Here is a 14,450-nt window from a genome sequence, read left to right as displayed (position 1 = left end):
TTCTCTCATCTATGAACAACATCTGGACCCTGATTTTAAGGAGCTACTGTAGCTCAGCTGTTCTTGGCTGTACGTGATTAGCTCAGTCAGGTTGCTGTTGTAGAACCCCAAAAGTTAGGTTCATGTACCCGGTGCACAGTAAGCCAAACACTGACACATTAATGCTTAGAAAGGTTTATTCAATTTGGCCAAAGTATGAGGGTGGGAGAAGCAGATTCTCAAATATGACCTTCCTTTGCATGTAATTGGGGGCTTTCCCTGATGATCAAAGCTGCTCGTGTCCCTTGGCCAGTCAAATTTCTGGATGCCATCAGGGAGGTCAGTATGACCTAAGGATCATTGTTCTTTAAAAGAAAAACAAGTACGTTAATCTTGCAAGCAGCCCCTGGGGGTTAGGATATAAAGTTAATCACTTGTTAGTGACTGCTCTCTACCAAAATGACTACGTGCGAGCGATCCTGCCTGGAGGAAGCTAAGGACAGAGAAAGAAAAATAAGTAAAATAAACACCTGATGATTTTTCTAATATAGGCTGGGTTACAGTATCCCCACTGACACTGTTCCTTTCCTCAATCTTCAGTTGGGGTGTTGACTCAGTCTAACTACTTCCCGCTGGCAAGGGGCATTCCTAGGGGGCTGAGGAATGGAACTTACTTACCTGCAGTTGAAAATATTCACATGTCCCGGGACTTAGGCAATTTTGTTGTAACATTGTTGAACAGGGTGTCAGGAGCTTGAGAAGGGCGATCTTGCAATCCCACATATATAGTGCCACAGCAGTATAATCCACAGCCAAGGAGTATTCCTGTTCCTATAGTCATAGCTAGAATTACCAGTAATTTTTTCCACCAAGAGGGTACTGACCGGAAGTATTAAGATAATCATTGGTTTAGTGACATCATGAGGTTGGACACAGCATCAGTTTGTACATATCTTGAAGGGCCAGGGTGATGTTTCCTGAATTGTCTGGAATGTACACATAGCATTCAGTTTTCATTATGGCACAAGTTCTCCTTGTGTAGCTGTGAAGACATCAAGGGCCATGTGGTTCTACAAAACTGCTTTTTTCATCATAGTCATCTGAGAGGTGACTAAAGAGATGCCTTTGAATGCATCCTTCAGCACATGCTGGGTATAATTTGTTAGGATCTCAACATGTCAGATAACATTTTTTAAACTAACTTGGGGAACAAAAATGGAGAGGGGATGGTCATACCAGTGGAAAACTGACTTGGTCCGTTGATGCAACACATTTGGGAAATTTCCAGGTTGTCCGTTGGTTTTTGCCAAATGGCCCTGGACCTGTGAGAATCCCAGAGCATATTGTCCTATCTAGCCAATGGGTAATCAGGGCCAAAGATTAGTCCCACATAGCCATTGCACTCCGTATGAAGCTAGCCAATTGAATTCCTGGCCTGTGTCCAATTGGTAGCAAACCAGTCAGTTTGTTGCAGCCCTGGAGTATGTTCACACTGGTGGGGGGAGCATCCAGCCCATATTCTTAGTGATATTTGGCCAGTTATCATAAGAATGCTGTTTTTTTTTTTGTTGTTGTTCCCAACATAAAGGGGCAATTTGATTTATGTGGCCGGTGGCAGGATAAGGGTAGGGGAACACAGTCATTCAAAGATAATCATCCCAAGCTTGATAAAAACCTTCCTCAGTATAGTGGCTATTAATAGCCAAAATTTGGGGGGCTGCCAAGGGAAATTCCTTCAGGAGAGGAGGAGCAGTGTATTCAAAAGTTCGTTGAACAGTCTGATATATAGTAAAAGATTTTCTGTGACCTGGGTTGTGAAGGGTTATATTAATGCCAGGCCATAGCCTTACATTTCCTCGTGTTAGCACACCAGAGACCTGATTTTCTTTGGAATAGTTTTTCATAAAAGTTTGTTACTGTACTCAGTTGTTTCCTTGTAAGAGCAAGACCGACCAAGGTAATACCAACATGCTAGAGATAGGTAACAGCCCTCAAACCCTACGAGCTTCTGTAGGCTATCTGCATAATGTGCCCATTGTAGGAAAAGATTGGTTTCAGCAGACACCGTAAGCCATATAGTACTGTGGTGCTTAGCAAGAAGGCTTTACTTATCTGTGGATGTTTTCTTCAAAAGCAGCTTCAGGTTTTTAGTTGGTTCACATGTCCTTTCAGGTCTATTAACCTGATAGGTCGGGCTGAGGCGGGGGCAATTTTTATCCAGGTATAATGTACCCACGGTTTAACTCCTGCCCAATTGATGAATGCGTGGTCAGAAGGACCTCATAGGGTCTTACCCTTTGAGGGGCTAGTTGGTGATTCAGTCCAGTCTCCCTCCAGGTTTTAAGTAGAACTTGGTCTCTAGCCTAGAAAGGGTGAGGTGGCCTGTCCATGGGGAAGAAGCAAACTCATGAACAGAAGTCGGTATTTCATTTAGCAATTTTAAATAATGTCTAATAGCTCCTTCCCTTTCTAAGATTTTATAGCCTGATCTAGCCCCAATGTGGCTAGGAAGGGTCTCTCATACATAATTTCTAAAGGGCTCAACTAGAGCCTGTTTCAGGGAATGACCCAAATCCTCAGCAGGAGAGAAGGTAGTACTTTGTCCCAAGTTAGATTAGTTTCCTGGCACACTTTAGCAGCAGTTTTTTTTTTTTGTTTTTTTGTTTTTTTTGTTTTTGAGACAGTCTCACTCTGTCGCCCAGGCTGGAGTGGAGTGGCATGATCACGGCTCACTGCAATCTCTACCTCCCGGCTTCAAGCAATTCGTGTGCCTCAGCCTCCCAAGCAGCTGGGACTAAGGGCATGCGCCTCCACGTCCAGCTAATTTTTTTGTATTTTTAGTAGAGATGGGGTTTGCCATGTTGGCCAGGCTGGTCTCAAACTCCTGGGCTCAAATAATCCACCTGCCTTGGCCTCCCAAAGTGCTGGGATTACAGGTATAAGCCACCACACCTGGCCTAATTGTTCTTTAAATAGTTTGATTCAGTTTTTTAGTCTTTCCGGTGGGCTGTGGCTGTGCTGCATGAAGTTTCCATTCAATGTCTAGGACTTGAGACACTTCCTGTACTACCTGAGAGATGAACACCGCACCATGGTCACTCTGAATCGTCAAAGGGAGTTCATACTGGGGAATTATCTCTTTAGTATAGTGTGGGCCACTTCAGCTCCCTTTCTGTTCGGATAGGGTATGCCTCTACCCATCCTGTAAATGTGTCTACAAAAAACAAAAAGATGTTTTTTGTACAAAAAGATGCCCTGTAGCCTCCAGGCACCCGTGGCATTGTGGTGAAATTAACTTGCCAGTCCTTGCATGGAGAGTCTCCTCAATGTTGTACCCTTGAACAGGGGTGGGGTCAGTTTTAGGGCAGTTTGGGCACAAAGCATGCATTGATAGATCACATTTTGAATGACCCCATTGCATGTCGGGGTCAATCAAGAACTCACATGCCATTGAAGGGTTGCATCTTTTCTGTAATGGATGCTTTGATGAAACTAGCTCACTATATCTTTAAGGAGGGCACTGGGAACCAATACGATACCTTCCAGATTACATTTCCAGCCTGGATGGGCCAGGGCTGGGATGTGAATCCCCATTCCTTGGCTCACTTTAAATCTCCTTTGGTATAGCAAGGTTGGAACTTGGTCAGATCATTGTGAGGTATTAGTGGGGCTAAGAAAGCCTCAGAGTCCAATGTTTTTGTGGCTTGCTTGGCTGCCAGGTCGGCAAGCTAATTTCCTTTGACTATTCGGGAGTCTCCTTTTTGATGGCTGGGACAGTGGATGATAGCCACTATTAGAGGGGGCATTTACTGATTTTTTTTTTTTTTTTTTTTTTTTTTTTTTTTTTTTTAGATAGAGTCTCACTCTGTTGCTCAGGCTAGGGTGCAGTGGCACAATCTCGGCTCACTGCAACTTCTGCCTCCCGGGTTCAAGTGATTCTCCTGCCTCAGCCTCCCAAGTAGCTGGGACTACAGGCATGTGTCACCGTGCCTGGCTAATTTTTATATTTTTTAGTAGAGACGAGGTTTCACCATGTTGGCCAGGCTGGTCTTGAACTCCTGACCTTAGGTGATTCACCCGCCTCAGCCTCCCAAAGTGCTGGGATTATAGGCATGAGCCACCATGCCTGGCCTTTTACAGATTCTAATAAGGCCAAAATATCAGAAGTATATTTGATTTCTTTATTTTTGCTAGTCAAAAGACCTCTCTCTACATAGCTCTGTGGGCATGTGCCACCAAGAAATCATATTGGGAGTCTATGTAAATATTCATAATTTTTTTTCTTACCCAATTGGAGGGCATGCATAAGGGCACCTTGGCCCACTGAGCTGAGGTGCCTAGCAATAAGGCTTTGGCTTCCTTAATTCCTTGTAAGGTAATGACCTCAAATTCAGCATGATGATGTCCATGGTCCATGAAGCTGCTTGCATCTGTGAACAGTCCTAGTTTGGAGCACAGCAGGGGCTGATCTGCCAGGTCTGGTTGCCTTGGAAAGACCTGCTCATTAATTGGAAGGCAATTTTGTATGGGCCCTGGCTCCTTCTCTGGAGGTATTAAGGTAGCAGAGTTAAGAACCGAGAACACCTTTAACTTCACCTCTGGATTGTCAAGGAGGGTGGATGGCTTGGTATTTTCCCAACCTCTCAGAGGTCAGCCAGTATCCACCTTTTTGATCTAAGAGACAGGAGATGTGATGCAGTGTGTGGACAGTGATGAGCTGAGCTAGAGTTAGCTTTTCAGCCTCCTAGAAGAGGTTGCAAGTTGCAGCCACTGCTCGGAGGCAGGGGGACCAACCCTCACCACCTGGTCAAACTGTTCAGAGAAATAGGCAATCAGTCTTCAGTCAGTTCCCAAGCTTTGAGTTAGGACACCCAAGCCCATGGCTTGTTTTTTGTGCACAACTAAATTAGAGGGCTTTCTTAAATCTGGAAGGCCCAGCAAAGAGGCAGTCTTTAACTTTTCTTTGACTTTATTTTATTTACTTATTTATTTTTTTTGACATGGAGTTTTGTTCTTGTCACTTAGGCTGGAGTGCAGTGACACGATCTCAGCTCACTGCAACCTTTGCCTCCTGGATTCTCCAGCCTCAACCTCCTGAGCAGCTGGGATTACAGGCACCCACCACGATGCCCAGCTAATTTTTGTATTTTTTAGTAGAGACAGGGTTTTGCCGTGTAGGCCAGGCAGGTCTCGAACTCCTGACCTCAAGTGATCTGACTGCCTCGGCCTCCCAAAGTGCTGGGATTACAAGCATGAGCCACCGTGCTCAGCCTCTTTGACTTTTAATTTTGGCATTCTGAAGTCCAGATCAGGGGCTCAGAATTTTTTCCTTTTAGGGCCTCATAAAGGAGTTTTACCGTAAGTCCAAAATTCAAAATCCAAATTCAACAGAATCCCATCATTCCTAGAAACCGTTGCAGTTGTTTACAGGAGATGGGGACAGCTACCCAGACGATTGCCTCCAGGTGGCCTGGGGGAAGGTTTCTATGCCCCTTATTCAGTTCAAACCCTAAGTATTTTACTATCTTTTGGCAGATCTGGGCTTTCTTTTTGGAAACCCAGTAGCCTGTTACCACTAGGAAATTCAGTATTTGAATGGTATTTTCAAGGAAAGCTCTGAAGGTCTTGCAACACAGATTTCATCCACATATTGTAAAAGCGTTCCTTCTGTCAGCCAGATGTCCGTTAAGTTCCATGCCAAAAATTTCCCAAAGATTGTGGGGGAATTTTTAAATCCTTGAGATAACAGTACTGCTGATTGACCTGTGTCCCAGCCTCAGAGATTCAAATTCAAAGATCTCTTGTGTCTCCTTGTCTAATGCAAAATAAGGCATCTTTACAGTCCAAATCTGTAAACCAACCTAGTTCTCCTGACAAAGTGATCAGCAAGCTATAGGGGTTAGTTACCATAGGGTGTATGTCCTAGACTGTTTCATTACTGGCCCTAAGTCTTGTACAAACTGTAGTTGTCTTTTTTTTTTTTGAGACGAATCTCGCTCTGTCACCCAGCCTGGAGTGCAGTGGCACGATTTCGGCTCACTGCAAGCTCCGCCTCCCAGGTTCAAGCCATTCTCCTGCCTCAGCCTCCTGAGTAGCTGGGACTACAGGTGCCTGCCACCACGCCTGGCTAACTTTTTTGTATTTTTAGTAGAGATGGGGTTTACCATGTTAGCCAGGATGGTCTTGATCTCCTGACCTCGTGATCCGCCCGCCTCGGCCTCCCAAAGTGCTGGGATTACAGGCGTGAGCCACCACGCCCAGCCGAAACTGTAGTTGTCTTAATGGGACTTGCATGATGGTAAGATGTAGGGACCAGCCCCACAGGGTCAGTGGGTTTTTCTCCCCATGTGTGGAGACGAGAGATTGTAGAAATAAAGACACAAGACAAAGAGATAAAAGACAGCTGGGCCTGGGGGACCACTACCACCAAGATGCAGAGACCAGTAGTAGCCCCGAATGCCTGGCTGCACTGTTATTTATTGGATACAAGGCAAAAGGGGCAGGGTAAAGAGTGTGAGTCATCTCTAGTGATTGATAAGGTCACGTGAGTCACGTGTCCACTGGACAGGGGGCCCTTCCCTGCCTGGCAGCCGAGGCAGAGAGAGGGAGAGCGAGAGAGAGACAGCTTACGCCATTATTTCTGCATATCAGAGACTTTTAGTACTTTCATTAATTTTGCTACTGTTATCTAAAAGGCAGAGCCAGGTGTACAGGATGGAACTTGAAAGCAGACTAGGAGCGTGACCACTGAAGCACAGCATCACAGGGAGACAGGGTCAGGCCTCCGGATAACTGCGGGCGGGCCTGACTGATGTCAGGCCCTCCATAAGAGGTGGAGGAGTAGAATCTCCTCTAAACTCCCCCAGGGAAAGGGAGACTCCCTTTCCCGGTCTGCTAAGTAGCGGGTGTTTTTCCTTGACACTGATGCTACTGCTAGACCACGGTCTGCTTGGCAATGGGCGTCTTCCCAGACGCTGGCATTACCACTAGACCAAGGAGCCCTCTGGTGGCCCTGTCCGGGCATAACAGAAGGCTTGCACTCTTGTCTTCTGATCACTTCTCACTCACTATGTCCCTTCGGTTCCTATCTCTGTATGGCCTGGTTTTTCCTAGGTTATGATTATAGAGCGAGGATTATTACAGTATTGGAATAAAGAGTAATTGCTACAAACTAATGATTAATGATATTCATATATAATCATGTCTATGATTTAGATCTAGTATAACTCTTGTTGTTTTATATATTTTATTATACTGGAACAACTTGTGCCCTCGGTCTCTTGCCTCAGCACCTGGGTGGCTTGCTGCCCACCGTAGAACAGGAATGTTAAAGGGAGAATTACAGGACCAAATCAGTCCTTGTGCCAAAAAAGCCTTCCAAGAGTGGTTGAATACCCTTTCATGCCACTTCCTTTAATGGGTATTCTGTGTCTCTCTTTTAATTTTTATGGGTTTGGCTGTGACCACTCTCCCTGGCTTCCCTTGGGCCCAAACATCTCTCCTTACCTGTGTGAGAATTTCTTCTGGAATGTCCTGAACCTCTTCGTTTTCTGGTTGCAGCAGGAGTATTTGAAACCTGCAAACTTGTTCAGAAGGAATCATTATATCTAGGCATCTGGGGGGAAAGACAAGTTGAGCATACAATTTGGCAAGCAAATCCCAGCCCAGGAGGGGCACTGGGCATTAAGCATGTACAAGAAACTATGCCCTAGGCCGGTCTCTCGTAAATGGTAACCTGAAGATTGTAGAAAGGGATAATGGTGTCTCCCAATATCCGTGTAACAGTAATGGTTTTTCCCAAAGCTGGAGAGAGACAATTGTTAATTAATTAATATGTGGCACTGTGTCAAGTAAAAAGTCAATCATTCTGTTCCCCACTGTCAGTTGTATCTAGGAATCCTGTGGGGATATAGCCACTGGTTGCTCCAAGTCTAAGGGAGTCCCTGGGACACATCAGTCTTCATCTAAATATTATTCTCTCTCCTCATCTGATTTTGAGGGACACTGCACTTGCTAGCTGCTTTGGTCAATTTGGGACAGCCCTTTTTCCAGTGTCCCTCCTTCTTACAATAGGCATATTGGTTTTTTTTCTGAAGGGGGCGTGAGCCGCTCTTTGATTTCTTCCTTTTCCCCTAGGTTGGTAGTCAAGCACAGCTGCCAGTGAGTTACTTGTTGCTTCAATTTGCACTTTCCTGAGCCTCATCCTGAGCATAGTACACTTTAAAAGCTAAGTCCACTAAATGTGAGATTGGCAACCCAAGGATCCCATTTACCTTTTGCAGTTTTCTTTGAATATCAGGGCACTGTGGCTGATAAAGGTCACATTGACCATTCTCTGATTGTCCGGTGCCTCAGGGTTAGTTAGCGTCAACCTACTTTCCACATGTCTGATGGAGTCTTTCTGGGAATTACAAAGGGTCCTCATATGCTTGCCGCTGTACTTCCTGTACCTTATTGAGGCTCTTAACCTGAGTAACCCCTTTCCTCAAACCTTCAAGGATGTGGTTCTCATAGTGTCCTAAGTGGGAAAGGCCCCACCATTTACATCGCACCTGGTCTCTGTGTTAGGGACTGAGTCTATTGGCCAGGGGTGATTGTTTCCTGCCTCCAGATGGAGCCGATTTGCTTCTTCCCTAGCCTTTTCTGTGACTACATGCCTTTCTTCTGCTGTGAGCAGCACTTTAACAAAGTGAGTATCTGCCCTTGTCGGGTGGTAGGTCAGAAATATAGACAAGAATAGCCCAGCCATTTGCTTGGGTTGGGATAGGGGGGATTATTGTTTTTCCAAAGATATTGTTTTCCCACTGAACAGCTCCAAAGTGGGAAAAGGAAATGTAACCACATCATGCCAAACTGTTGTCCATTCAAGTCCCACAGTGGGGAATTGACACAGAGGAAACTGCCCTACTAAGGGACCAGTGGGTCCCAGGCCAAATTGGGTTTCCTGTCAGTTGCAGGAAGGCGAGACCACAACCTGTCCTAATTCCATGGGGAGGACAGGTTTGGGAGTGTTCCCCTCCTGCTCCAGACAATCCCATAAGGAGGTGGAGGTGCTGGAGCCATAGCTGACTGGGGGGCAGAGGATCAGGATGATTATTCAGGGGATTCAAAGCACCAAGCAGTGCCCTGTCTTCCCCACCTAATGGTGGGAGTCTAAAACCTTAGGTTTGGGCTGTTTTTCCTTTTGCAGCATCAAATTATACCTCTTTTGAGTAGGTTCATTCTGATAAAAGAGTATAAAAGCCTGGACATACAGGATTGCATCCTATTTTCTCTGCTCTTACAGAATAGTTGCAGTTGTATTATAGTAGCATAACTTAAAGAACTGTTTGTCAGCCATTTTTTCCCAAATTCTAAGGCATATTGAGGCCAAGCAGCGTTACAGTTAAAAAAATTTTATTTTTCTTCATGGGCTCATAGCTGAAAGTGGCCCAATTCTGGAGAATGCAGCCAATGATGCTACTCTCTGGGATCAATTCCAAATTTGCCCTGTTCAGTCTTTTCACATAACACACACACCACACACACACACACACACAGATACACACACACACACCCCCCAAACCAAACAACAACAACAACAAAACAAAATCACAAACAGAAAACCAAACTCCCTACAGGAAAGCAAACAAGAAAATGGGCATAGTCCACCATTCTATTACTCCCCCAAAAGGGCCCTCTTCACAATGCAAGCAGAGAGAGTGAGATATGGCTGTGTGCACCGCAGTGACTTACCCTTCAAACCAAAACCAGAAGTCCAGATAGCAGTCTGAGATGTTTCTCTGCTCTAAGCTTCTAGAGTACCAACAGCAGCCTACACTGACCTAGAAGAGCGACTTTAGGGCCCCCTGACCAACACACTTGGGCAGCTGCTGGGACACTCGTTCGCCTAACCTGGCCAGGGCCTATTGCCATGCTAGACCTGGCATGGTTGCCAAAATCTGTTGCAGAACCCCAAAAGTTAGGTTCAAGTACCTGATGCGCAGTAAGCCAAACACTGACACATCGGTGCTTCAGAGCAGAGAAAGGTTTATTCAATTTGACCAAAGCATGAGGGTGGGAGAGGCAAATTCTCAAATTCAGCCTCCCTTTGCACGTAACCAGTGGCTTTTATGAGTAAGGTAGGTATATGGGAAGTGAGATCCCCTGATTATCAAAGCTGCTTGCATCCCTTGGCCAATCAAACTTCTGGGTGCCATCAAGGAGGTCAGCATGACCCAGGGATCATTGTTCTTTACAAGAAAAACAAGTTCATCAATCTTGCAAGCCGCCCCTGGGGGTTAGGATATGAAGTTAATCACTTATTAGTGACTACCCTCTACCAAAATGACTACATGCAAGCAGTCCTGCCTGGAGGAAGTTAAGGACAAAGAGAAAGGAAAATAAGTAAAACCTACATGATTTTTGTAACATAGGCTTGGTCACATTGCTATATTTCATCTAAGTGATGGCTATACAGTTTTTCTCTGCTTGTCACATTTAACAGAGATATAAAAGTTCTTGCTAAAAGGCTAGTCTTGTAGAGTACGTCATGAAGGCTCATCATGAATACATCATGAAAGCCCACTTGGGAAGAAATCGGAGCAAGACAACTGGCGAGGCAAAAAGAACAAGCAGGGGCAGACATGGAAATCCACCTAGTCTGTTTTAAAGAGCCCCTGGGCAGGCAACTTCTGAGGAGGACGCTGTCAGCAGAAGTGCCATCATATAAACACTACACCTTCAAAAAAGTTTCCTGACCCTATTGTCCCCTCTGTGTCCTCCTCATTTCAGTTAACATGGCCTGTTAAAAAATCTTGTCACCATTAGATGTTTCATGTCTTATTTATTTAACACACTTGTTCTGTGTCTGGCTAAGAGGACTAGCAAGTCTTTTGTTTAAAAATGTCTTTAGGCCGGATGCAGTGGCTTACGCCTGTAATCCCAACACTTTGGGAGGCCAAGATCACCTGAGCTCAGGAGTTCGAGACCAGCCTGCCCAACATGGCAAAACCCCATCTGTACTAAAAATACAAAAATTAGCTGGGTGTGATGGCGCTCACCTATAATCCCAGCTACTTGGGAGGCTGAGGCAGGAGAATTGCTTGAACCTGGGAGGCGGATGTTGCAGTGAGCCAAGATCACCCCACCACACTCCAGCCTGGGCCACGGAGTGAGACTCTGTCTCAAAATTATATATATATATATATATATATATATATATATATATATATATATATATATACAATTTAATAAAAAGGTCTTTAGTGGTCTGCTTAGGTTTTAAAATTCTTTCATTATTCATAAACACCTATGAGTTGTTTACAATTCAAATAGCTCCACTGAGATTATCATGAAAAGGGGCGGTCTTCCACCTTACTCCTGGATATCATTTCCCAAAGGCAGCCACTTTAAGTATTTTTGCATTATTTATTGGCATTTGCCTCCATATTTAAATAATGTGCTTATATCGCCACTTCTTGATTTTTCCATTAGTGTTATTACCTGTTGATTTCCTCCTATGGTAGATAAGAATTTAGCTCTTTCATAATATCCACCCACACCACACCACAGTTGTTTCTCAACCTTTGGTTAAGTCAGCGATCTAAGTTCATGTTATTTACTAGCTAAATATTCATCATGAGCCATAGTGTACCATGATTGTGTTTCTCAGACCACTTTTCCCCCCTCACTTTTACTTCATTTGTTTGCCTCTTTTCCTATGGATTGATGATGAATTCATCCCCCAAATCTCTGATAGCATTATGTAATCTTGTATATACATCAAATTCTTTTTTTTTTTCTTAATCTTTCCTGGTTCCCTTGTTCTGGGTTCAGTGCTATATTCGTTTACTAGGGCTGCCATAGCAAAGTACCACAGACTGGGTGGCTTAAATAAGAGAAATTAATTTTCTCACAATTCTGGAGATGGAAAGAGCAAGGTGTCAGCAGGGTTGGTTTCTTCAGAGGCCTCTCTTCTTGTCTTGTAAATGGCCGTCTTCCTGTGTCTTCACATGGTCTTCCCTTTGTGTCTCTCTGTGTCTAAATTTCCTTACCTTAAAAAGATGCTAATTGGAATGGGACCTCAATTTAAAAGAAAAGAAAAAGAAAAAGGACGCTGGTCATATTGGATTGGGGCCCACTCTAGTGACTTCACTTTTACTTATTTACCTGTTTAAAGGCCCATTTCCAAATACAGTCACATACTGAGATACTGTGGTTAGAACTTTAACATGACTTTTGGAGTGACACAACTCAGCCCAGAACAGGCACTTTGGTTATTCTTTTTTTTTTTTTTTTTTTTTTTTTTTGAAGACAAGGTCTCACTCTGTTGCCCAGGCTTGAGTGCAGTGGTGTGATCTTGGCTCACTGCAGCCTCCGCCTCCTGAGTTCAAGCGATCCTCCCACCTCAGCCTCCTGAGTAGCTAGGATTACAGGCATGCACCACCACACCCAGCTAATTTTTAAATTTTTGGTAGAGAGTGGGTTTCACCATGTTGGCCAGGCTGATCTCGAAATCCTGACCTCAAGTGATCTGCCCGCCTTGGCCTCCCAAAGTGCTGGGATTACAGGCGTGAGCCACTGCACGTTGGTTATTCTCTAGACCTCAGGCATAGCTTCTGCCCTGGGATTTCTCTTTACCTTCACCCTGGTCATTTCTTCCTCTCCTGTCTCCTGGATCCCATAGCTGCTGCTTTTTGGTTTACTTTCCTGTTGGGTGGAGTATATCTTTCAGCATCCCAGGGAAGGTCATTGGGATATAAACTTTTCAAGACCTTTGCCTGAGTGAAATGGGTTTATTTTACTCTTTCACTCCTTTGATAGTTTGATCGTGGAATTGTAGGTAAGCAGTTTTAAATGCATTAATTCATTGTTGTTCTAGATTTCATCTCTGCTGTTGAAATCCTGTGCTATCCTGACTGCAGAGCTTTTATTTGTGACCTGTAATTTTCCTCTCTGGCAGCTTTAGGATCTTTATCTCAGGTGTTCTGAAATTTCATGTTATGACTTAGTGGGTGCTTTTTTTTTTTTTTTTTTTTTTTTTTTTTTTTTTTTTTTTTTTTTTTTTTGATACAGTCTCACTCTGTCGCCCAGGCTGGAGTGTAGTAGCATGATCTTGGCTCACTGCAACTTCCGTCTCCCAGGTTCAAGCGATTCTCTTGCCTCAACCTCCCAAGTAGCTGGGACTACAGGCACATGCCACAATGCCTGACTAATTTTTGTATTTTTGGTAGAGACGGGGTTTCACCACATTGGCCAGGCTGGTCTCAAACTCCTGACCTCAAGTGATCCATCCGCCTCAGCCTCCTAAAGTGCTGAAATCACAGGTGTGAGTCACCGAGCCCAGCCAGTGTGGGTGCTTTTTAATTCATAATGCTAAATACTTAGTGAGCTTTTTCAATCTGGCAAGTTATGTGCTTCAGTTCTGGGATATTTCAATTTTAATCACATTTTTTTTGCGGGAGGGGGGAGTTTTATTAGTTGAATGTGGGATTTTCTGAAATGTACCTCTAAGTTTTTTTTTCTCTTGTTTTCCATTTTTAACCTTTTGCCTTTTTTTAAAATTTAGGATGATTTTCTCAGCTTTATTTTCTACCTTTCTGTTGGCTATCTACATTTTCTGCTATATATATTTTTTCTGCTCTATGATTTTAATTTCCAAGAGCTAGCTCATTTTTTTTCTGGAAAAAAATGCTATTAGAAAATGAATTCATTATCTCTCTAATGTCAATTATTTCTACATTTCTTCTGTTCCCTGAATCAACTTTTTTTTTCTTTCTTTCCCGTCCGCTACTTGTTTATACCTCTGTCTCTGCTCTTAGAAGTGTTCTTGAAATACCTCATGACCATGTTTACTGCTCATTTGTCCATACTTAACATTGAGGCACTAAAAGCTGATGATGGACGCTCTAGTCTTGTCATGGTGGCCTTGTAATAAGGTGGTTAGTCAGCTTGGTTTTTGTTTACTTTCCTCCTGCCGCACACATTTAAGTTTTATTTTTCTCCATTCTGACAGTTACCATCTTTGAAATTTTAATTTTTGTTCACCACAAACACTTCTACTATGGAAGGGAGGACCCTTCTAGTATCCTGTGTGAACCTCCTTTCTGATGTAATTCTAGCAACTGCCCCAGAATTACGTCCTGAAAACAAGCTGATTTGTGTTTTTCCCTTTGGGAATCTTGAATGGCTTCTGGCCTTCAGAACCCATTTTCAGTTCCTTGTCAAGGCTTTCTGTGATCTGACTCCAAGCTGAGTTTACAAAGCCCTGTACTGTATTCCACTCCATATCTCAGGATGCCAGCCATTTCCTGAGTACATTGTGTTACATGTGCTTATGCCACCGTGTCCTTTGTCTTTCAGGTTGTTCTCCTGGCTATAATTTCTCTTCTGTGGCCTCTGTGAGCACATCGTTCACATTCTTTAAGCCCATCTCCTTAGTAAAGCCTTCTCTCCCACCCTACATTATTCACAAACAGCCTACCCTTCCA

The 14,450-nt window shown here is 43.9% G+C and overlaps 1 annotated feature.

Moving 5' to 3' along the window:
• Nucleotides 6,861–7,044: a silencer, noted in NCBI's record as "fragment chr2:73981125-73981308 (GRCh37/hg19 assembly coordinates)". NCBI's record gives its function as "represses an EF-1alpha promoter that drives an FKBP-Casp9 reporter gene in an ReSE screen in HepG2 liver carcinoma cells {active_cell/tissue: HepG2}" and the evidence as "EXISTENCE:reporter gene assay evidence [ECO:0000049][PMID:32094911]".

This window comes from Homo sapiens, chromosome 2, assembly GCF_000001405.40.
Source record: "Homo sapiens chromosome 2, GRCh38.p14 Primary Assembly".
Taxonomy (NCBI): domain Eukaryota; kingdom Metazoa; phylum Chordata; class Mammalia; order Primates; family Hominidae; genus Homo; species Homo sapiens.
The sequence above is the reverse complement of the archived record's forward strand: the minus strand, read 5'-3'. Positions and strand labels throughout refer to the sequence as shown.